The following is a 23,698-nucleotide window of genomic DNA, read 5'->3' as shown; positions in this document are numbered from 1 at the left end:
GCATCACTAAAATGAAGAATTTCCATTTATCAAAGGACCTTATTTAGAGGAGGTAAAAATTGGGACAGGCATTTGGTATATGCCCCCCAAAAGTTACATAAATGGACAATAAAATGTGAAAAAGTGCCCAGGCTCCTTGGCAATAAAAGAAATATAAATTAGGCCGGGCGCGGTGGTTCATGCCTGTAATCCCAACAGTTTGGGAGGCTGAGGCGGGTGGATCATCTGAAGCCAGGAGTTCGAGACCAGCTTGGCCAACATGGTGAAACCCCATCTCTACTAAAAATACAAAAAGTTAGCCCGGCGTGGTGGCACATGCCTGTAATCCCAGCTACTCAGGAGACTGAGGTGGGAGAATTGCTTGAACCCGGGAGGCAGAGGTTGCAGTGAGCCGAGATCATGCCATTGCTCTCCAGTGTGGGTGACAGAGGGAGACTCCAGAAAAAAAAAAAAAAAGGCGGGGAGGAAATATAAATTAAAACCACAGTGGGATACTACCTCACACTTTCCAGAATACTACCAAGAATTAGGTAGGGTGCGGTGACTCACATCTGTAATACCAGCACTTTGAGAGGCCGAGGCAGGTGGATCACCTGAGCTCAGGAGTTGAGACCATCCTGAGCAACATGGCGAAACCCCGCCTCTACCAAAAATACAAAAATTAGCTGGGCAAGGTGGTGTGCACCTGTAGTTCCAGCTACTCTGGAGGCTGAGGTAGGAGAATAGCTTGAACCTGGGAGGCGGAGAGCCAAGATTGTGCCACTCCACTCTAGCCTGGGTGACAGAGTGAGACTATCTTAAAAAAAAAAAAGTGGAATTAGCTAGGGTGTGGAGCAATTAGTCAAAGTGTAAATTGGTACAACCATTTTGAAAAATAGCTTGGCAGTATCTGCTAAAACTGAACATGTGCATGTTGTATGACCCAGAGATTCTGCTCCCAGTTATAAACCAGACAGAGATACATTCATAAGTGCACTAAGAAACATGTGTATGAATGTTCACAGCAACATTATTTGTAATAGCTCCCAAACAGGAAAAACCAAAATATCTATCAACAAAAGAATGCATAAACAAATTTGGTTTATTCTTAAATTGGAACACTAGACAGCAATGAAAGTCAACAAATCTACTACATGAAATAATCATAAGCATGAACATAATATTGAGCAAAGGAAGGCAGTAACATAAGAGTACATATTATATGATTCAATTTATGTAAAGTTCAAGTACAGGCAATATTTATTTATGGAAGTTGTATTGGAGGGAGATTTTTTATTTCTTGATTGTGGGATGGGATGGGAATACAAAAGTGTTCACTTTGTAAAAAATCATGAAGCTATATACTTAAGATTTTTGTACTTTTCTGTATGTAGGTGTGCTAGAACTCAATTAAAGCATTTGCTTAAGAATTAAGACGTCCAAACCTCTAAATCTCTCTCCTTAGTGAGAGGGCATTGGTGGCTATAACCTCAATAGCAACTTATTAAGAAAAATTAGTAGCAGAAATTATTAGAGTTAAACATTTCAGAAAAAGTGTTTAAAATTTATCTTTTGTGTGATTTAATTAATTTCATACAATTACTTTTATTCTAACATCCCAATTAGAGGATATTCAGGTATAACTGAAGAAAAATTACATGGTGTATTAGGGTAGGTGAAGCTACAATGTGGTAACAATGTTCTCCCCTCCCCTTCACCTCCCTGCTCCCAAATCTCAATGGCTTAAAACAACAAAAGTTTATTTCTTGCACTTAACAGTCTAATGAGATGTTTGACACGTGGCTTTCCACTTGATTCAGGGACTCAGGCTCTTTCTGTCTCATGACTCTGCTTTCTTCTAGGATCTTGAGTTCCTCCTGGATCCTCTGTCTGGACAGCCAAGGAGCAAATAGAAAGTGGAAAAGACATACTATTTGTTAACCGCCTTGGCCCTGGGATGACACATCCCTTCCAATCACACAGTAAGAATTAGTCTCTTGATCCTGTAAAAGACAGCGGGACTGGGAAATGTAGTAAACACTGTGCAGAAGAAGAACAAACACATTTAGTGAGGCTCCAGATATCTCTGACACATCTGGAACCCAAGACAGACCATGAGGTCACTAGAGAAATGCTCAACAAAGAACTGCCAGGGAATGGGCATTCTAACAGAAAGAGTTACAAAATGGCATCTTAATCAGGAATCCTGTCGCATTCAGAGATTAAAAAAAAAGTAGGAAAAGGAACAGCCTTTCATGATTTCAAAGAAAGAGGTTTTTGTGAGGGAGATAGTAATTAGAAGAAAAATTGAGATGGAGCCTCTATCGTATTAGAGGAAGAAATATATCAAGGTTAAATATTTGAAGCAGACTGTTGGGAAGTTAGTGAATTCTTGAGATACTGTACAGGTCAGTGAGACTTTAAGGAGAGGGAAACAAAACAGAGAGACAAGGCAGGCAGGACTATAAAATATTTTGCATTCTTTTGCCCTCGAGAGTAAGGAAGTCAAGAATATAGTACATATTTCACCAAAAGAGTTAAATTCTCACAGGAAAACCTCAGGTTTTACCCACTTCCCAACATCCCTGACAATGGAAGCTGTACTTAATGGTAATAATTATAATAAAGAAAAACATGTAGGAAACAGTAATTAGACTCTGATGTGAATGCCACCTCTTGGAGTTGTTCAAAATGGTGTTCCTAAACACTTAGCTTCGCTTTGGGAGAAGACTGGGGACAAGAGGGTGGGGTTTATGTCTCAGAAAATAAGGTCGGGAGGTGAAGAATGTGTTATTTTAAGACAGTTAATTTTGGTCTTCTCATGTAAGAGAGCTACTGGGAATTAAGCATATCTGTTATTTCTTCTGTCAACCTTGGTCAAAGTTGCTGTAGACAATAACTTGTATCTACATTGTCTCTCTGCCTAATCAACTCACATAGCTGCCTAGAAGGAATCTTACACTTGGAATGACAGGTGCACATTCTTCTGGTGCCCTGTGTAAAGGACATGGAATTGTAGAATCTGCTGCTTTGACTATTCTCCCTGTCCTTATTACCACCTAGAAGCGCTGAGACTGAACCCAAGGTGTGTTAGGATAAGGCTAGCCTGCTGAAACAAAGACTACATAAATTCAGTTTTTTTAAAAGAAGGTATATTAGTCTGCTCTCACACTGCTATAAAGAAATACCCGAGACTGAGTAATTTATAAAGGAGAGAGGCTTAATTGACCCAGTTCCACATGGCTGAGGAGGATTCAGGAAACTTAATAATCGTGGCAGAAGGCAAAGGAGAAGCAGGCACCTTCTTCACAGGGTGGCAGGATGGAGTGAGTGCAGGCAGAGGAAATGCCAGACTCTTATAAAACCATTGGATCTTTTGAGACTCACTCACTATCATAAGAACAGCATGAGGGAAACTGCACCCGTGATCCAATTACCTCCACCTAGTCCCGCCCTTGACAAGTGGGGGTTTTGGGGATTATAATTCAAGATGAGATTTTGGGTGAGAATACAACCAAACCATATCAGAAGTAAAGGTTTGTTCCACCCAAGTAATAGTCTGCTGTGATTGTCCCAGGCTAGCAGACAACCCTTCTGATGGTGATAATTTAAGGACCCATGTTTCATCCATCGTATTGTACTGTCATCCCTGGGGCATTGCTGCCATCTGCATGGTTAAAAGTGGGTCACTGGTGGGAAAGAGAATGTATCTGAATGTCTGAATCAGAAGTGACACACTTCACTTTCATCACATTTTATTGGCAGGAACTCAGTTGTGTTATTCCACTTAACTGCAAGTTGGGGTCACAAACGCTGTCCCTAGTGAGATAAGCCCAGTTATAAATTCCTTTATACGAAAGATTAGAAAAATGGATGTTGGTGGATATTTGGCAGTATCTATCCAGGAAGAATAGAGAAAGTTAAACAGAATCACTCAAATTATTTTACACCTATTAGTAAAGAAATATATAGTTGAACTTTGTTCATACTACGGTTGCATACACCATTTATTGTAAAATATTCTCAAATTCTGAAAATTATGATTTTTGAAACTACCATTGTACATTACAGTTGCAGAGAATTTTTATCCCCAATTTTGACTTATCTTTAAATGACCAAGATTTCTAAGTCTATATCTTTAAGATTTTCTGTTCCCTCTTTTTCTAAGTCGAATTATTAATGATAAATAAGCAAACACATTGAAAGTTGGGAGCGATGTAGTTACTATAAAGAAATGAAGGCAGAAGTTCCTTTTTGCAGTAAGTTTATAAAGCAATAATCCTCAAAATTTGCTTGAAAGTTCATATTAACACACTGAAAGTATAGCCTTGTTAGTTACAGAATATGAGACTTTGTGATTTAGAGTACATAGAGTAAGATACTGGAAGATAATCTTACTTTCTGGTTTTGGATAAAACTAGAAAGAACATTTTATACAAGTCTTGGTGTATTTAAGGAAATCACATATCTTGGCCCAATATTTTAGTAATATACAAGACTTAAAATAAGTCGTGTTCTGTATTTTTATTAAGGTAGTGATTTCACTGATATATACAACTATCATAATTCATTAAATTGTATCTTTTAAATAGGTGCAGTTTATTGTACATAAACATTGTACATACCAATTTATTGCTTCTGGTATGGAGGAAGAAATGAGAAGCATGAGAAATGCAAAATATGTGGGTAACTATGGAAAACTACTTTTTCTATTAATTTCTTTAAAATATATATAATTTTGAAAAGCAAAAATTAGAACATTGCCTTGAGGGGTTTAAAATATTATGTAGAAGTAATGTATAGAACAACTATAACATAAATTATGGCAGGAATGGGGGTAAATAGACCTAGATTGCTACAAAAAGTACTATATTAACTCTAAGCAGACCGTGAAAAGTTTAAGGATATATACTGCAATACCTAAAGCAACTACTTTAAAAACTGTGAAAAGGTATGATTAAAAAGTGAAGAGAGGCCAGGCACGGTGGCTCAAGCCTGTAATCCCAGCACTTTGGGAGGCCGAGGTGGGTGGATCACGAGGTCAGGACTTCAAGACCAGCCTGGATAAGATGGCAAAACCCTGTCTCTACTAAAAATACAAAAATTAGCCAGGTGTGGTGGCAAGCGCTTGGGAGGCTGAGGCAGAGAATTTCTTGAACCCAGGAGGTGGAGGTTGCAGTGAGCCGAGATCACACCACTGCACTCCAGCCTGGGTGACAGAGCAAAACTCTATCTCAAAAAAAAAAAAAAAAAAAAGCTAAGAGATTCAAATAAAAATATAAGAAATGTTTAATAATCTGAAAGAGGGCAGGAAAGGGAGAATGAAGAAATGAAAACTGAGATGACAAGTAGAAAATTAATAAAATAGTAGACTGAACCCAACCATATCAATAATTACATTAAATATAAATTGACTAAACACTCCAATGAAGAAACAAAGATTATCAGACTAGATTAAAAAGCAGACGTGACCACCTGCTGACTACAAGGAAGTACTCTAAATATGAAGATACACTTTAAGTATAAAAATAAAAATAAGATAAAAATATAGATATTTACATTAATGGAATTATAGTCCAGAAACAGAACCACACATACATGGCTGATTGATTTTTCAGTGAAGTTGCCAAAACAATTCAATGGGAAAATGAAATCAACAAACTGCTGGAAAATCTGGATGTCCATATAGGAACAAAAAGAAAAAAAGAACATCTACTCTTATGTCACATAATATGGAAAATTAACTGAAATGTATGACAGACCTAAAGATAAGCTAAAACTGCAAAACTACTGGAAAATAAGATAGGTGCAAATCTTCACCAACTTGACATAGGCAAACATTTCTTAGAATAAGACACAAAAAAATTAATCATGAAAGAAAAAATTTGTGAATTAGATTTCATCAACATGAAATATTTTCTCTTTGGAAGACACTATTACGAAAATGAAAAGACAGGCCACAGTATGGGGGAAAATACTCTCTGTCATGCATTTGACAAAGGACTGACTGGTATTTAGATAAAGACCTCAACTCAACGATAAGAAGACACCTCAATAACATTTTATAAAAGATACTGAGTACATGAAAAGATGCTCAACTTTTTTAGTCATTAGATACCATTACAACCATTAGAAAGGGTAAAATGGAAAAGACTGACAAAGCAAGTGTTGGCAAAGCAGAATTAACTGGAACTCAAACACAGCTGGCAGGAATGCAAAATGGTACAATTACTTTGAAAAACAATATGGAACTTTCTTAAAAAGGTAAACATTTGCCTATCATATAATCTAGTTATTCTACTCCTAGGTATATACCCAAAATAAATGGAAACATATGACCATATAAAAACTTTTACACGAATGTTCATAGCAATGTTATTCACTATAACTCCAAACTGAAAACAACCCGAATGCCCGTCAGCCCGTGAATGGATTAAAAAGTGTATTATATTCATATATGGAATAGTATTCTCCAATAATACTAAACTATATTGAATAATATTCAGCAAAAGGAATGAATTATTCATACATAAAACAATAGGGATAAATCTGAAAATCATTAGACTAAATGAAAGAAACCAGACACAAAAGAATACATGATATATGATTCTGTTTATATAAAATACAACTACTATATAATAATAAAAAGCAGATCAGTGTTTGCCTGCAGCCAAGGGCAGGTGGAACAATTGACTGTAAAGGAAATGAAGAATTTGGCGGGGGGAGGGGGGTTCCTAGAAATGTTCTGTATTTTTTTTTTGTTAAGGTGGTGATTTCACAGATATATATAACTATTGTAACTCATTAAATTGTGCCTTTTAAATAGATGCAGTTTATTGTGCTTAAATTATTCATCAATAAATTTTATAAGAAAAAAAACAGGAAAACCTTTTTCGTATAATTTTTCATAGTTGAAATCTATTTCTCACCCAATAACAACCCTAATTTAATGGTACTAGTTCAGCCTTCTGAAACCACGCCTATAAAAGCATAAACAAAGAATATTTATTCCACTACGAGTCCCTTAAATATTTGAAAAGAGCCAATTTTTTTTAGCCTTTTCTTCTCTATATTATATACTACACTTCCTCAATCCTCCAGCTTGTTTTTTTTTTTTTTTTACATATTGTTTAAGTCCTAGGCTCTTTAACTTTCCTATTTTCCCACCTTTGAAAACACTTTGTTGTCAATATTCCTTATAAACCAAATGCAAAACTCCAAGTGTTATCTGCTAAGTCTTGTTCAATGGGAAGAGTATGACTTGTGGAAAGAGCAGGAGACTGGGTATATAGAAATTTGAGTTTGCTGGCTCTGCCAATGACAGTCTTTTTTTTTTTATCTTAAGCAAAGCAATAACTATATATTTCTCAGAATAATGAGGGAGTTGGAATTATTTATTTTACCTAAGATTTTATTCATTTTTAGTATCCAGAAATGAAAGTATGGGTAAGAAACTTCTGAGAAACTTTCTCAATGAAGAAATACAAATCAACTGAGACATTCTGATCACAAGTTACTGAGGCCTAAAAATATTTTTTGGTTTAGATGTTAGGGTAATCATAGAAAATTAAAAAAAATTTTTCGGTATGATTTGAAAAGAATCATTTAGCTTTGTATTTAATTTGTATCCATTTTTCTATTTGCATATGTATCATTAGCCCCTAATTTCTGATGTTGGAGATTTTTCCAGTCATGTGCTTTAAACTAATAACAAATACTGCACTTGATCTTAGCCAAAAGGCTGAGAAGTGATGCAGTCATGTGCTTTCAGACCATGCAGGTTTGTGACTTGCTACAAAATCTCTGTGAGTTCAAAACATTCATAACATATGGCAGCTCAGATGTTAGGTTGGGAGAAATAGCTGTTTAGAGGATTCTTTGCTATATATATTTTAATGTGACTTGTGTATATGAATATGTTGGGAAAGATGTCACTTGGGAGTGAAGTTGAAAGAAAAAATCTTTATGCTTTAAGTCCACTGTGGACAGCAGTAGATATTACAAATAAAATGGGAATTTGTTCAAAGCCAGATATTTTAAAAATATACTTCTTCTGATTGTAATCTTTAAGTAACAACAAAAATCAGTGTTAACTGCTATTCAAGGGAAATAGTGTGGTTTGTAGAAAGAGCTGGAGATCACATATAGGGGAATTGAATTCAGGCAAAATCACTGTATTAGATATCAAATATTCATGTCTAGGATACTTCCCAATTTGGGGAAAATATCAGCTAAATCATGTGAATGGTACTTTTGTCCAGAAAAAAAATATGTTTAAACTCCCCAGTATTATACCTTATGGCCTACAAAATAACTTATTTTGTCAAAACTTCCCCCAAATGACTTGTGATACAAAGCATCCTGCTGGAAAAAGAAGCTTCCTACTACTTGAGTGAGCTACTTGCTCATTCCTAATGTGTGGATGGAATAGACAGTCTGAGCACAAATTGCAGGAATTGGCAGGACTCCTTTTCAGAGCTAATGCTGTCATTTTTTTTCTGGGGTAGCAAATTTTATATTTTCTGTTAATTAAGAAACACATAAAATAGGTGAATAAAGATAAAGTTCTTAATGTTCAATGACATCTTACAGTTTGATAGCTCTTTTACTTCACAGGTATCTGAAAGATGTCCAATATACATTAACTCATTTTACTTTTATATTAATTACTCTCTTATCTTACTTGTTGTTTTCTGGGCATATGAAATTTTAATTCCCACTCGGTCTCCATGTCTTCTTAAATCCTCAGACTTCACCTTTGGAGTTGTGTTTCTGGGCAGAACTCTTTCACTGGGACTTGCTTTAACCCACAGTACTCTATTTACTAGCGGAAGGATGATGTTCTAATACATCTAATATATGTATCTAATATGTTCTCCATCTGCTTGGTTTCATGCCATTGTCCTCCCCTCCCCATAACACACACATACAAGGCACCTACCCTCAGCCACTCATTCAGACATGCACACAACACCATTTTTATGAATTCTCAGAAATTTTCCCCATCCATTAAATGAGCAAGTGCTTTTAAACCGTAGAGTGCTACTAAATTTTGTTGTGACACTGATGTTTCATAGGCCACTAATCTGAGTTAGACAAAGCAAAATAACCATGCAGGTAACTCATTTCCTACCAAAAACCATGAAGCATTATTACTCTGAGAACATGTCCCAGTTGTTGGAATCCTAGATTCTCTGACACTCCCTACTCAATAGTCCCTCTGGTTTCCCAGCTGACAACTAGGAGAAGGGGCTTGACAAACTCCTGGTTTTAGCAATCAGTTCAATGAACCATCATAATAGCATATACTTTTCATAAACCAGGCTTACATTCCTGGTTGATTTCACAGCTCCTAGTTCTAGAACTGCCCCTGCAGCCATGGTGACAGTTCTGCTGCCTGCTTCAGCGCCTCTACCCTGGCAACATGTTGTTCTGAGGCTAGCAGATCTCGCCCAAGGCAGGATTCTCAACTCTGGAAGGCTTAGTGGGGCCAGGCCCAGGGAATGGTCTGTGAGTATTGCTTAAGCCGCCTCTCCTCCACAGGCTGGTCCCTGCAGCTTCTCTTGCTGCATCTTGCTCCATCTGCTGCTCCCTGGATGCAAATGTGTCTCCCTTAGGGTGCTGGGCACTGGGCTGAGAGGGTCCTAACTTTACCACTCATTCCCTACCAAAGAGCTGCTCTATTACTTTTGCACTTCAACATCTCCCTCTCCCTCCTGAAAGCTATTTCATGTTCTCAGGACTGGTTGAAGCCAAAAGCAGCCAGAAGTTCTAGAGAAAATGTTCAAATTTATCCCTTTTTCCTTCTCTAGTGGTTATTGGTGGTGGCAGATGTTGTGTAAAACTGATGTGTCTATTTCCTTTTGTGGTGGCTTCAGACTCTGGGTAGACATGTATACAACACTCTCAACTTTGTTCCAAGATGCTTTTTACTCAAGATGCTAAAATATATGCTATTGTATGTACTGTGCTTTCTCAATGCTTTGACAAATTTAAACATGAGATAACCCATGCTTAAATGCATCCTAACTCAACATATATCACAAATGAATAATCATCTGCCAGTTGTGATAGCATCTCTTCCCTCTCCCCATTTCCTGGAAAGGATTCCAGACAAATGCATTATTTCTACTTCTACACAGTGTTTCTTATTTCTTATTCTGTCTACACATCAATTTGTTCAGTATCTTAACTGGTTATTTGTACCGTTGCAATATCTCTTGATTAACTACTAAATTATATCACCTGTAGAAGCTATCTTATTTCTGGACAACATATATATAATATTAATCAATCTTTGATCATATGGCTGCAAGATACTGCCAATTACTTTTTGGCCTGAGACAAAAAACAAAACAAAACATAACAAAAATGCTTTTTTAAAAGTATGTTTTCTACTCTGATTTCTGACATTTAAATATCTTTTAAAGATATCTGTCAGTGGCTTCTAAAATTTCCTTTAAATAATCTTTTTGAAGATATAATATGTTGCATGTTTCATTAATACAATCTTATATAAGATTCTGGATGCCAGAATCTTAATTATAATAGTCAGGTAAAGTCTACTCCAGACACTAACCACCTGAAGGAATATGTTAATTGTTAATTCTTATTTATACGGGGACTTTATAATAATGGCAAAAGAATTTGCTAAGAATGACTAAACCTAGTATACTCAATGTGAAGTATGTATAGTTTGCCTCACAAACCTGAATACAACTAACCATAAAACATGCATACACTGGTTATGAGTCCCCACATACTCTTCCTGAAGAAACTGGCATTAATTTTTACTTAGGAAATAATCTATGCTGTTGTGGAATATTTCCCTTTGTCCTCAAGTTTATATACTGGGATATTTGCTTCCTAGTTCAGGGTTTGTGTTAACACATTTTAGAATCTACTTATACAGTCAAGTACAAAGAACAGCCATTGAATGCTGAATCTTTCTCAACTGATTTCTATGGAAAGCTTATGTTCTTTGTAATATACCTTAGCTGGCTGTCGTTGTATGGTGCATTGCTTCTAGGCCTAATTGGAACACCCTGTCTGGCAGTTCTATTAGGATCAAGATTCTTGACTTTGGAGAGCAGAAAATATTTTAAATTCATTTTGGTAGGAGGAGTCAATTTCTGCCTGAAAAGAAAAAAAAAAACAGATTTCCTGAAATAAGAGTATAGGATCTTATACAACACCATTAAACACTCTCCTTAGCCATTTGGAACTCAAGGAATTGCTTTCTAATCAATTTATGTCATTATGTTCTTGGTTACATACATACTTACTAAATCTTTCCTAAAGAAAAATTATCCTGGCCAGGCATGGTGGCTCACACCAGTAATGTTTATACTGGTACTAATATATTTCTTCAAAGCCACTTGTTTTTCTGTTTGAGCACTTTGGGAGGTCAAGGTGGGCGGATTGCTTGAGGCAACGAGTTTGAGACCAGCCTGGGTAACATAGCAAGACCTCATCTCTACAAAAAATAAAAATAATTTTTAAAAAATTAGCAGGGTGTGGTGTGGTGGTATGTATGTGTGGTCCCAGCTACTTGGGAGGCTAAGGCAGGAGGGTTGCTTGAGCCCAGGAGGTTGAGGTTATGGTGAGCCATGAGGTTACAGTGAGGCATCACATAATTGCCCTCTAGCTTGGGCAACAGAGCAAGACCCTGAAGAAAGAAAGAAAAAGAAAGAAAGAAAGAAAGAAAGAAAGAAAGAAAGAAAGAAAGAAAGAAAGAAGGAAAGAAGGAAGGAAGGAAAGAAAGAAGGAAAAGAAAGAGAAAGAAAGAGGGAAAGAAAGGAAGGAAGGGGAAAAAAGAAGGGAGGGAGGGAGGGAAGGAAGGAAGGGGAGGAAGGGAGGAAGAGAGAAAAGAGAAAGAAAGAAAGAAAAGAGAAACAAAGAAAAAGAAAGAAAGAACAGAAAGATTTTTTTTTTTTGGTTTGTGCTTAATTCAGTCTTCCTTTTGTTATTTAAGTATCTACTGAATTGGCCCTAACTCCCTAAACTTTTCTTTCCTCCTGAGAATCCCATCATATCAAACTACCTTTATTTCCTTTTTTTCTGTTTTTTTCTCAGAAATTAATTTTGTAATTCTCAGATTCTTCCCAAATGATCTCTTCACTGTTTCTTGTCCAAATCTGACAATAAAAAACACAACACATTTCTGGCTGTCATCTGCAGAAAAATAGTCTTGAAACCTCAACATTTCTTGGTTCCTGCTTCTCTAGAGCCATCAACACTAATTTTTCTTTTTTCTTTCTTGCTTTTTTAGATACAGGATCTTGCTCTATTGCCCAGGTTGGAGTGCAGTAGTGGGATCACAGCTCACTGCAGCCTGGAATTCCTTGGTTCAAGCCATTCTCCTGCCTCAGCCTGCCAAGCAGCTAGGACTACAGGCACACACCACCACACCTGGTTAGTTTTTAAAATTTTGGTAGAGATGAAGTCTCGCTGTGTTGCCCAGCCTGAGACTAATTTTTCAATATCAATTTCTACTGACTAATCAGGGTGTAAAAGATGTGGATGTTACAAAGTGAAGAAAATTTTGGTTATGTTGGATACATCAGCTAGAACTCATGGCATTGGCTGTAATAGCATTACCATATGTCCCAGCAATTCCACTCCTAGGTACATATCCAAAGGAATTGAAAGCAGGGACTTGAACGGAGATATTTACACACGAATGTTCATAGAAGCATTATTCACAATAGCCAAAAGGTGGAAATGTGGAAACAACTCAAATGTCCCTTAGCCAGGATTACAAATGGATAAACAAAATGTGGTATATAAATACAATAGAATATTATTGAGCCTTAAAAAGGAGTAAAATTCTGATCCATGCTACAACATGGATGAACATTGAAAACATTATGCTAAGTGAATAATCCAGAAATAGAAGAACAAATATTGTATGATCCCACTTATATGAAGTACTTAGGATAGGTAAACTCATAGAAATAGAAAGTAGAATAGAGGTTACCAGGAATTAGGGAAAGGGGAAAAGAAGGAGTTCCTGTTTAATGGGCAGAAATTTCTTTTTTTTTTTCTTATACTTTAAGTTTTGGGGTACATGTGCACAACGTGCAGGTTTGTTACATAGATATACATGTGCCATGTCGGTTTGCTGCACCCATCAACTCGTCATTTACATTAAGTATTTCTCCCAATGCTATCCTTCCCCCAGCCCCTCACCCCCCAACGGGCCCCAGTGTGTGAAGTTCCCCTCCCTGAATGGGCACAAATTTCTTGTTGGGGATAATGAAAAAGTTTTGGGTATGGATAAGAGTGATGGTTATACAACACTATGAGTGTATTTAATGTCCCTGAATTATACACTTATATATGGTTAAAATTATAAATATTACGCATGTTTTACCACAATGAAAGAAAGAAAGCGCGCCTTCTAGTGGGAGCTGGGTGCAGAGAGAGCTCTGTATTCTTGGCTGCAGCTGTCTAGAATGGAGCCTGTCTTGCTAAGCTGGAACTTGGGAGTCTTGGATAAAATACCACAGAGCCTTGCCTTTCTTACCAAATTTTTGTATCTCTTTCTTGAAAAGATGTTTCTTCTTTTGCTGTTTGCCCTTAGGATCATTTCCAGAGGGTCTGAGTCATTTTTCTAGAATTTTCACCAGTTTCACTGAGAAGTGAGGTAGCAAAGCTCTTTATGCAGTCATGCCAGAAGTTGACCGGGAAGACTATATTTCAAATGTTAGTTATGTTATTCAATTTGGAGGATTGCTTATGACATTGTTGCACTGGTTGTAAAATTAAATCTTTAGGATTAAAATGTTTTCTTGAGAAATGTGGCAACATTACTAAAAACCATGGTAATCCCTCCCCCCAAAATGGGATTTTTAGTAACTTTATCACTGTCCTGAGGCTTCCTTTTAAAAACTGCAGCTTTGACATTTTTATTACATTATTTTAAGAGAAAGTAAGGCTCTATAGATTCCACATGCATTCTTGAATAAATGAGTGAGTGAATGAATGAATGTTTTTGTTTATGAACATGGTGGCCATTTGCTACTGTGTGCTTTGACAGTAAGACTCCCCTGTACCTGCCTGTTGCTGAATTCTACAATTCTATCACTCAAACCCTATCTTAGTTCAAGCTGCTATAACAAATTACCATAGGCTGGGTGGCTTAAACAACAAACATTTGTCACAATTTTGGTGCCTGAGAAGTCCAAGATCACAGTGCAGGCAGATCCGGTATTTGGCGAGGGCCTCCTTCCTGGCTTGCAGATACCGTCCTCCTGTATCCTCACATGGTAGGAAAAGAGCGAGCTAACTCTCTGGCCTCTTAAAAGGGCACAATCCTACTCATGAAGGCTCTACCCTTTTGAGTTAATTACCTCACAAAAGTCCCACGTTCAAATATCATCACATCGGGGGTTAGAATTCAATGTATGAATTTCAACACATTGAGGGGTTCACTATAACAAATGCACTGTTTCGTTATTTTCCTCTATGCAGTCTATGGAAAGTAACTTTCCTCTCCAGTATTTTTGAGAGGAATGATAATTCAACCTTTCTATTAAGAATAGTTTATGCAGTCAAAATGTTATTTTCTCCAAGAGACAAAGACTTGTTATTTTATCAGTATCCAAATAACTGGCTCACCCAATTACTGGAATAATTTTACATTTCAGAGAAGGTGAAAGAAATTAATATTCATGAGCATTTACTGTGTGGTAGGACTACTGCAAATATTATTTTATTTAACCCTTGCAGCAGTATCTAGGAGTTAGAGCTTATGAGTATCACTGAGGATGCAGAATTAAGACTTAAAGGTTGGGTCTTTTCCAAGGTCATATAGCTAATGAACAGTAGAACTGCAAGAAAAAAGAGAACAGGAATAGGGCAGTCAGACAGCAGTAGGTTGGCCCTAGATGTCACAGGTGGGGGTTTCCAAAGGAAAGATAAATGTCTCTGTAAGAAAAGCATCATTGATTCGTTGCTATTTTATCATCTACAAAACATTCCCTGCCAAATCTTCAGAGGACAATTCTAAAGAAACTTAAAAGGATAATTTATAGTTTGTTCATGTTTACAGCCTAAGAACACATTATTGCCCTGTTTTTATAAATTCATGTTGGCTAAACACATTTAAATATCATTGTGTTTTAGAATATTTATTTCTGAAATTTAACTTTATTTCTGAATCAAGTTCCCCAGTAATACCGACCTCATGAGTGCCACTGTGATATTTTATAAATAATATAGGTAAAACACTTTTTAGGTACGAAGAGACCGGAAGTCCCAGAGCTGAGGCCTGGCTAACTTTGATGAGAAAGGCAGGTTGGGGTATGTTTGTGGAGTGGTGGTTGTGGGGGTAGAGAAGCAGGTTAGCTTAGGGAAAGGGTACCATTTAGTAGACCCTTAGAACCCAGGATTAGGAGCTGTATTTAAAGAGAATAGACACAGTAAACTGCAAGAGATATATTCAAAACCAGTTATAAACTTTCGGAGAAAAAAAGGTAGGAAGGGAGAGGTTGGGGGCTTGGGCGATCCATTGCTTGGAGCTCGGCTTAGCCAGGCTTGGCGGTCCTCAGAGGGGCTGATAAATCGGCGCTCGACTGGCCTAGGAGCTGTCCGCAGGGAGGTGAGGAGAGGGGCCCGGACGCCCGCGGGGAAGGTGGGGACGGGGGCCCGACGCCCGCGGGGAAGTGGGGACCCAGCCGAGCCGTCCGGGCAGCGGTCGATCTCTAGAGCCGTCTGCCGGGCAGGCAGCGGACGGGCGCGGCGAGTTGTTGGTCACCAGGCGTCTCCAGGCCGCCGGCCCGCGCCAGCGCCTCAGCCGCATTTCCAGTCAGAAAGCGGTGAGGCCTGCGGCGCGCTCGGGCGCAGGGCGGGCCCAGCTCCCCGCGAGGTGGGACCGGCTGGGCGTCCGGCCCGCCCCTAAAGTCGGCTGATTGGTGTTCGGTTCCTGTGTCTTGTGTTCCGGTGTGTGGCGCCCCCTGAGCGAGCGCTGGGGGGGACGTACCCATCTGTCTGAGCCGCGGGTTTCACAGCGGTGGGAGGAAACGGGACCCGGGGGGTGGAGTGACGCGCCCCAGCGCCCCGTTCTTGTGCCACTCTCGGGGCCCTAAGGCCTCTGCCTTGGATTTAGGATATTCTCCTTAGGAAATCCACAGAGCTGTTATTTTGCTTTAGGTGCTGATTCGGTCCCCAGCCGGACCCTTCCAGCCAGCCCTGTTGGTGCCTGGGGAGAGGGGGTGAGATCTGGGGCTCCGACAATTGTATGGTCCTTTCCCAGGCCGAGCCTCGGAGTAATTTGTTCCCGTTGATTTTTCCTTCTTTGTCAGATTCTCTGCAGTTATTTGTGACGGTCGGTTATTCCCGTAAATGTTGGTCCCTACTTCTTCCTTAACTCACAAAAATTTCTAGCAAATCAATAATTTTTATCTGAGTTTCTGTACTTTTAAAATAAGGAGTATGTTTCTGAGTAAAAATTGTAAGAAGTAATAGGCCTGCAATTTTATACAATAAGTTTATACAATAATTGTATACAATAATTTTATACAATAAGTAAAGATTACAGAAGACAAAATGGTGAATTGTCATTAATATAACTAAAGATTAATTGTATCTAGTTGTATTAATATTTAACTAGAGATTGTCATTAATATAACTAGAGAAGGTCGGCACCGCAAATTATGTAGACTCAAAAATAGCTTAAGTATTTTAACAGTGATTATAGCAGAGCAGACACTTAAAACTACCTGGGATGATATTGTTTATTGTGTTTGGCAATCTAATTTTGTGCCACGTGCTGAAACTAAAACTTTAATAATAAATAATAGGAACTTAAAAAATCTGAATCTAAACCTAGAACTTTAATTAATTTAAAATAGCATCCCCTCACATCACAAACTCATACTGAACTGTAGCAAGGTCCCTTTTAGGACCTGTGTTTCTTTTTTAAAAAAAGATTTACATAATGAAAGTGCCAAATTCATCATCTTTTAGAACCTTCATGATTTTATTTACATAAATCCTGAACTAGAAAAAAATTTCACATTTTTTAACTGAACGTTGAAGATTGGGGCTCAAATTTTAAGTTTCTAAATTAACAGAAAATTATTTTTATTTGACACTATTTTTATAAACTGGTTCTTGCTAATGCATTTATTCCACAATGCATTCTTATGGACCATTTACTGTGTGCCAGGCACTATTCTGGGTTATTGGAACACATTAATGAGCAAAAAGTCCCTGCTTGCTCTAAAGGGAGAAACATAATAAACAACTAAGCATATACTATAATGTTAGTTATCAGTTCATGCTATGAAGAAAAATAATGCGGAATGAGAGGATGCAGTTTTAGATAAGGGGTGTTTTTTCACAGGAGTATATAAGAACTAAAATATGTACATGATATTTTTATTCTGAACCCAAACAAGTTATATTCTTGTATGCTAGAACTAGAAATCAAAAATTCTTTTGAAAATATTTGCTGTTTGTATAGGAGGTTTTTGTCAGTTTATGCAACGCTTTTCTTCCCAAATGTTTTAAATTTGTAGTTTTGTTGTCTATTTGTAGTTGCTTTAGGAAGAAAGTATTCAAGTGTATAAATGTTAGCCTTAAGATTTTTGACTTAAATTCTGAGGTAGCAAAGCCATATGAAACTGGTCTGGTGAGGTTTATTTTAGGAAAAGTTTCTTTTGTTTGAACATAGTTTTCCTAAAACTAGAAAGGGAACATTTTATTTGTTACTTTTTGGGCAATATAAAAACATGATTAACATTTTCATTTATACTTTTTCAGATAATTGTTTTCAAGTTCTGAAATTGTTTACTTAAAGCTGTTAAAGACTTCGCATATTTCTGAATGACTCCCTCTACCTCCTGCCCTATTATCCTAGGCTTCTATTTTTCGTATAGTCAAATTGTTTTAGACATTTATAGAACCACACTAGTTTGTTTCATTTTTACTACTTGTTTTTGTTGGTAACTGATTAATAGATAGAGAAAAATGAAGAGGGCAATTATATTAAACAGATGGAAGGGGGAAGAACCCAATAACGAAAACAGTGAAAAACCCCACAATATTCTATATCAGTAAGAACAGCCCTGAAGTATATATACAGGTTTAGTTCTCATACAGTAGCATTTGTCAAGTGTTGTATGTGGAAACATTCTCCCTTCCCCATATCACTCCCACTTGTATCTCATCCCCACATCAAGGAGGATTCAAAATTGGAGAGACATAATCTGACTTGGTAATGCGTATTTCTCCACTAGATGGCATTAATAGAATTTCTTTGATTGTAGTTTCTATCTTGAGGACAAATTTACAATGTATTAACTAAAACAGAAGAAACAGAAATGTGATTTATGTTTTACAGTTTGTTCGTCTGATTTTATGGTTTGTCATATAGAATGTTCTATGATGTTTAAGAATTTAGAAAAAAATAGGATATGCAGGGAAAAATAATTCTAATGGGAGCAATGTATGTATCTAGAGACTAGTTTTTTTTTTTAATCACATTTGCATCTTTGTTCAGCCCCAGATTTTTGTTATGTTCAAAGGTGGCCAATGCTGAATGTTTTTATCCTTTATGTTTAGATAATATCTCTGAGTGCAAAAATTATCTTTTAAAAAAGAATGTAAACGTGTGTAGTATATGCATTAACTCATATAAATAAATATGCATATGTATGTTAAACTTGTAATTTTTTTATTTTGAAAAAGTTCAAACCTATGAAAAAATATTATAATGAACCCCATGTACCTATTACATAGCTTTAGCTTTGATCAACTCATTGTCAATATTATTTCAATACTCCTTCATCTCTCCCCTTTATTTTGAAGCAAATCCCTGCATATGTACATAGTATATTGTTAGAGGTGCACACATTCACAATAAAATGTGCTGTCCTAACTTGAAAATAATGGTGTGAACAAAGTATTAAGAGCCCAAGAAGACTGATTAATTCTGCCTTGAGGAAGAAGACAAATTCAGAAAAGCCTTTGAAGAAGAAATGACATTTGACCTATAACTTGAAGGATGGTTAGGAATTTGCCAGTTGGAGAATGGCAGAAAACACATTCCAAGCATTGGAGCACTATGAAGAGAAGGGAGCAAGTGTGAATCCATGAATGAATGGAAAACAGAGAATAATGTATGTGAATATTGAGGTGCTTTGAAGGAAGTTGCAGACGATGAAGCTGGAAGGATAGTCTGTGGTTATATTTTACAGGAGACTGTGGAAAATTAGTGATTATACAGAAATATTTTTTTACATCTTTATAAATAAAATATAAACTACTTTTTCCATATTTTGTAGATTTATGACAAAGTCCAGTTTTCAACAATGCTGAAATCAAATGATTGCCTGTTTTCTTTGGAAAATTTGTTTTTTGAAAAACCAGATGAAGTTGAAAAGTAAGTCTCCCTTAAAGATTGATAGCATAGTATATTACTTTAGGGTTTTTTGAATTTGGGTGAGTTTTAGCTTTCTCTCTGGTAAATATACAAATAAAAATGAGGAATCAACAGAACGATATTTCAGTTACATATTTGGTAAACATGGAATTCTCTTACCAGTAGTATAGGGGAGTAACTGAAGTTTAACATCTTAAATGTTATAATTTTAAAAATAGAATAGATTTGGGCCAGGCGCAGTGGCTCACGCCTGTAATCCCAGCACTTTGGAAGGCTGAGGCGGGTGAATCACCTGAAATCAGGAGTTCAAGACCAGCCTAGCCAACATGGTGAAACCCTGTCTCTACTAAAAGCACAAAAAAATTAGCCAGGCCTGGTGGCGCATGCCTCTAATCCCAGCTACTTGGGAGGCTGAGGCATGAGAATTGCTTGAAGCCCGGAGGCGGAGGTTGCAGTGAGCTAAGGTGGCGCCACTGCACTCCAGCCAGAGCAACAGAGTGAAACTCTATCAAAAGAAAAAAAAAAAAAAAAGATTCTTGCCTATTTGGCTTGCATTTATTTGTATTTCTGGTTTGTTCAGATTATTTTTGGCCAAGCTAAAGATGGGAAATAATGCTCAAAGAGTAGCTCAGGACAAGGAATGACGTCACCATCTGGAAACAGAATGGACAGTATGCCAAAGGCAAAGTATGATAGGCACATTAAATGCTGGCAGGAAGTAGGGGCGGGAATAAAGATGTGAGACCAAAGAAAACAAGACTAGAGAGTAGGTAGTATGTTAAATACTGGCTTTTATGGATTTTCATGTGCATTGTTCAATTTTGAATTTTCTGTGTATTTTTAGTGTATTGTATTATCCTATTTTAATGAGGTGTATTAATTGCCTCATTATTTTACTTGTTCATTCAAATATTGATTGAAAGTTGAAAGGGTTATAAAAAGGATGAAACAGACTTTTACTTACAAAGTACTTAAAATCTAGTTGAAGAGATTAAACACACAAATGGAAAGACATTAATAAGTAATAGGACCATGTAAATAATCATCTATACTGTGACACTTTTGAGAGTGAAAGAGCACATCCAACTGGGGCAACATGTGTTAATCAGGTCTGGCCAATGCAAATTTTGTAATATACGGTTGTTTTTCTGAAAATATGGTCAAAAATATGTGCAAAGCAAATGACAAGCATATGTTCATGCAATGAAATTTCAGACTTGGAAGGAAGGTCGTCTTGGAGTACACAGTCAGGTCAGGCTTTTTGGGTAGTAGGGGGAGACTTCAGGAGGCTTTGAAGGATTTGATAATTCCTATAGAAAGAGAAGAAGTGGGCATTTGAAGGCAGAGTGTTAGAGCAAGAGAAAAAGAATGGAGATAGGACATTCATGGTACTTTTAAGGGATAACATGTAGAGAAGTTTCCTGGAATAGACAATTCATGAAGGAGGAACTTTGGGACATAAAGTTAGAAATTCTAAGTTGAGGTTAGATGGTGATGTGCGTTGAATGCTGGAATAAGGATTTTGGATATAATTCACTGTGGGTTAAAAGCCATTGAATTAAATCAACAATTATTTATTGAAATTATGTAAAGGACTTTGCTAAGTACTGCTGATGTAAATGGACGTAAAAATAAAACTGTAGGTATAATCTAGAGGGAGTATCAAATATCTATCTGTCAAAGCTATCCATTTGCTTATCTGTTTCTCTCTATTATCTATCTGTACATTCACACAGCTCAAGGCAGACTATAATACATATTATAGGTTCCCTCTATAAGAAGAAGGGAGGAGAAAATCTTTGGGAACCTAGGGAGATTTCTTGGAAAAGGTAGGATTTGAGCCAGCCTTTGAATATAAGCTCTAGTGCCTAGAACAATACCTGGCACATAGTACTCAGTAAGTAATTACTGAATGGATTAATGAATGAATAAAATAGTAGAACTTCTGCATGTAGATATCGGAGTGGGGCAGGGCACAGGGGCAAGCTGAGTAAATATCTTTGAATGAGGGTGAGGAGTGACGAGGCACGGTGGCTCACACCTGTAATCCCAGCACTTTGGGAGGTTGAGGTGGGCGAATCACTTGAGTCCCGGAGTTTGAGACTAGCCTGGCCAACATGGTGAAACGCCATCTCTACTAAAAATACAAAAATTAGCCAGACATGGTGGTATATGCCTGTAATCCCAGCTACTGGGGAGGCTGAGGCATGAGAATCACTTGAACCCAGGAGGTGGAGGTTGTGGTGATCTGAGATCTGGCCACTGCACTCCAACCTGGGTGGCAGAGTGAGACTCTTGTCTCAGGAGGGAAAAAAAAAAAAAGATGAGGAGAGACAATGCATTATCTATTTGTTATACAACAGGGAGTTCAGTTTAGTTTGGACTGTAAGGTATGTGTAGGAGAGTTAAAACTATAAGGTGGTCTAAGGCCACTAGGAAGTTTGGCAATCTTTGAAAGCCATTGAAGAATTTTGAATGGAGTAATGTAATGAAAACAATTCCAAATGAATGTGGTAGGAACTTGTAAAATAGAGAGAAAGCCTGGAGGCAGTGAGGGCAGTTAAAACAAGTTAGTAAGAGCCTTGATTATGATAATGACCGTGGAAACACAAAGGAAATGATAAATTTAAGAAGCATTACAAGGAATATACAGTAAGACCTAATATGTATCTAGATATAGTTAGTAAAAAAGATACTATGGTTTGGATTCTGGGTGACTGGGATGATGATGTCACCTCTGGAAAAAAATTGGGAAATTATAAGGAAGATTTGATTTTATTAAGAGGCAGAATAGTACAGCTATTATTCCTCTTTCTTAGGTTTTCTGAAATAGTCCTTGTGTAGAAAAGAGTTAATATAGCAGACCTAAACTGCTGTTCTTGAAAAGGCCTGTTTGCGAGGGCGGCTTTGGCTAGAGTCTGAGAACTTAGATTTCAGGAAGATCCCTTCCATTAACTGACAACAGTGGCTTACTATGTGTAAACTGTTTATACAAATAGTGTGGTTTATGTTGAACACCTGCTTTTTTTCTGAGATTCTGGAATTTAGGTGTGTGCCAGACAGGGGATGCTTATGTTAATGTTAGCCCCCAATAAAAACCTGGGCATTGGGTCCCTGAAGAGCTTCCCTTCTTTGGCAACATTTCATGGGTATTGTCCTAAGTCATTACTCAGATAATTAAGTGCCTCCCGCAGAGTCTGCTGGGAGAAGACTCTTGAAAGCTCATGCCTGGTTTTCCTTGGACTTCGTCCTGGTAGCCGTGAGTAGGACTACATGCTGAGTCTTATGAGTCATTTTAGGATATTATTGAACTGGGGGTGATCTTGGGGACCCTCTGACACAGTCCTAAATTTTAAAAGATCTGGCTTGTTATTAAACAGTCTGTTAGACGTTGCCAGATAATGTGTTGTAGATTTTTTACTTGGAAAATATGGTCAGAGTAGCTATGTGCTAGGTGCTCGGAGAGACAGAAAAGTAAAAGACTGAGTTTCTCACTTTAGAGAGCGTAACATCCTAAATGACTAGATCATAAAATCTTTGGGACTTGGTATAGACAAAATATATGATGCTCTTCTCAACTTTATTTCCTGTCACCTAACACTTATCTTTTTGTCCTAATGAAGAACAAGTCAACTTTGATGGGAAAGGAACCATTAAAGCAGTATCAGTTAACACGATCACAGTTGAAAGATGAGGAGGGGTAGTTAATGATGCCAACAGGGTGGCAAAAATATCAATTACTATAGGTTATAAAGAGGTCATCAGTTTCAAATGATTTCTTGGATTTTTCTGTAGTTTGTAGATGGTTTGGACTAAGAATATTTCGGTTAGGACATTAATTTGTAATAATGTTATAGGAATACTCTAGAACAACGGTCCCCAACCTTCTTGGCACCAGACACTGAATTTGTGGACAGTTTTTCCACAGATGGTTTCGGGATGAAACTGTTCCACCTCAGATCATCAGACATTAGTTAGATTCTCATAAGGAGCATGCAACCTAGAGCCCTCTCATGTACAGTTCATGATAGGGCTCGCACTCCTGTGAGAATCTAATGTCGTTGCTGATCTGACAGAAGTCAGAGCTCAGGCAGTAATGCTCACTTGCTCACTGCTCACCTCTTGCTGTGCAGCCGGGTTCCTAACAGGCCAGCATCAGTCTGCGGCCCAGGGGTTGGGGATCCCAGCTCTGGAATACCAGTAATGGTATCGTTTACACATTGATGACCCGTGATTAGTTGTGAGATATGTCAAGTAATTTGTTACTTGTAATAGTTAAAATGCTAAAGTTTGAGAATGATTTACTACTTTGTTTTTATATTGGAGCAG

The 23,698-nt window shown here is 37.4% G+C and overlaps 1 protein-coding gene and 1 pseudogene across 19 annotated transcripts in view, besides 1 other annotated feature; one reads left to right on the top strand and one right to left on the bottom strand.

Moving 5' to 3' along the window:
• LOC124904661 (uncharacterized) lies at positions 7,656–7,732 on the bottom strand (annotated as a pseudogene).
• The window catches only part of HFM1 (helicase for meiosis 1), a 147,242-nt gene continuing 135,917 nt past the window's right edge, over positions 12,374–23,698 (top strand). For 12 of the 19 annotated variants that reach the window (XM_011540857.2, XM_017000490.2, XM_017000491.2 and 9 more), the window contains exons 1-2: positions 15,544–15,583; positions 19,272–19,369. In XM_011540857.2, the coding sequence (XP_011539159.1) occupies positions 19,299–19,369 (71 nt within the window). In that variant the 5' untranslated portion in view covers positions 15,544–15,583; positions 19,272–19,298. Of the gene's footprint in view, positions 12,394–15,543; positions 15,801–15,839; positions 15,925–19,269; positions 19,370–23,698 lie in introns of those variants that run through there. The other 7 variants (XM_011540852.3, XM_011540851.2, XM_011540849.2 and 4 more) reach the window with 7 other exon arrangements.
• Positions 15,570–15,949: a silencer, noted in NCBI's record as "silent region_1066". NCBI's record gives its function as "represses an Ori minimal core promoter by ATAC-STARR-seq in GM12878 lymphoblastoid cells {active_cell/tissue: GM12878}" and the evidence as "EXISTENCE:reporter gene assay evidence [ECO:0000049][PMID:35858748]".

This window comes from Homo sapiens, chromosome 1, assembly GCF_000001405.40.
Source record: "Homo sapiens chromosome 1, GRCh38.p14 Primary Assembly".
In the NCBI taxonomy this organism is placed as follows: Eukaryota; Metazoa; Chordata; class Mammalia; order Primates; family Hominidae; genus Homo; species Homo sapiens.
The sequence above is the reverse complement of the archived record's forward strand: the minus strand, read 5'-3'. Positions and strand labels throughout refer to the sequence as shown.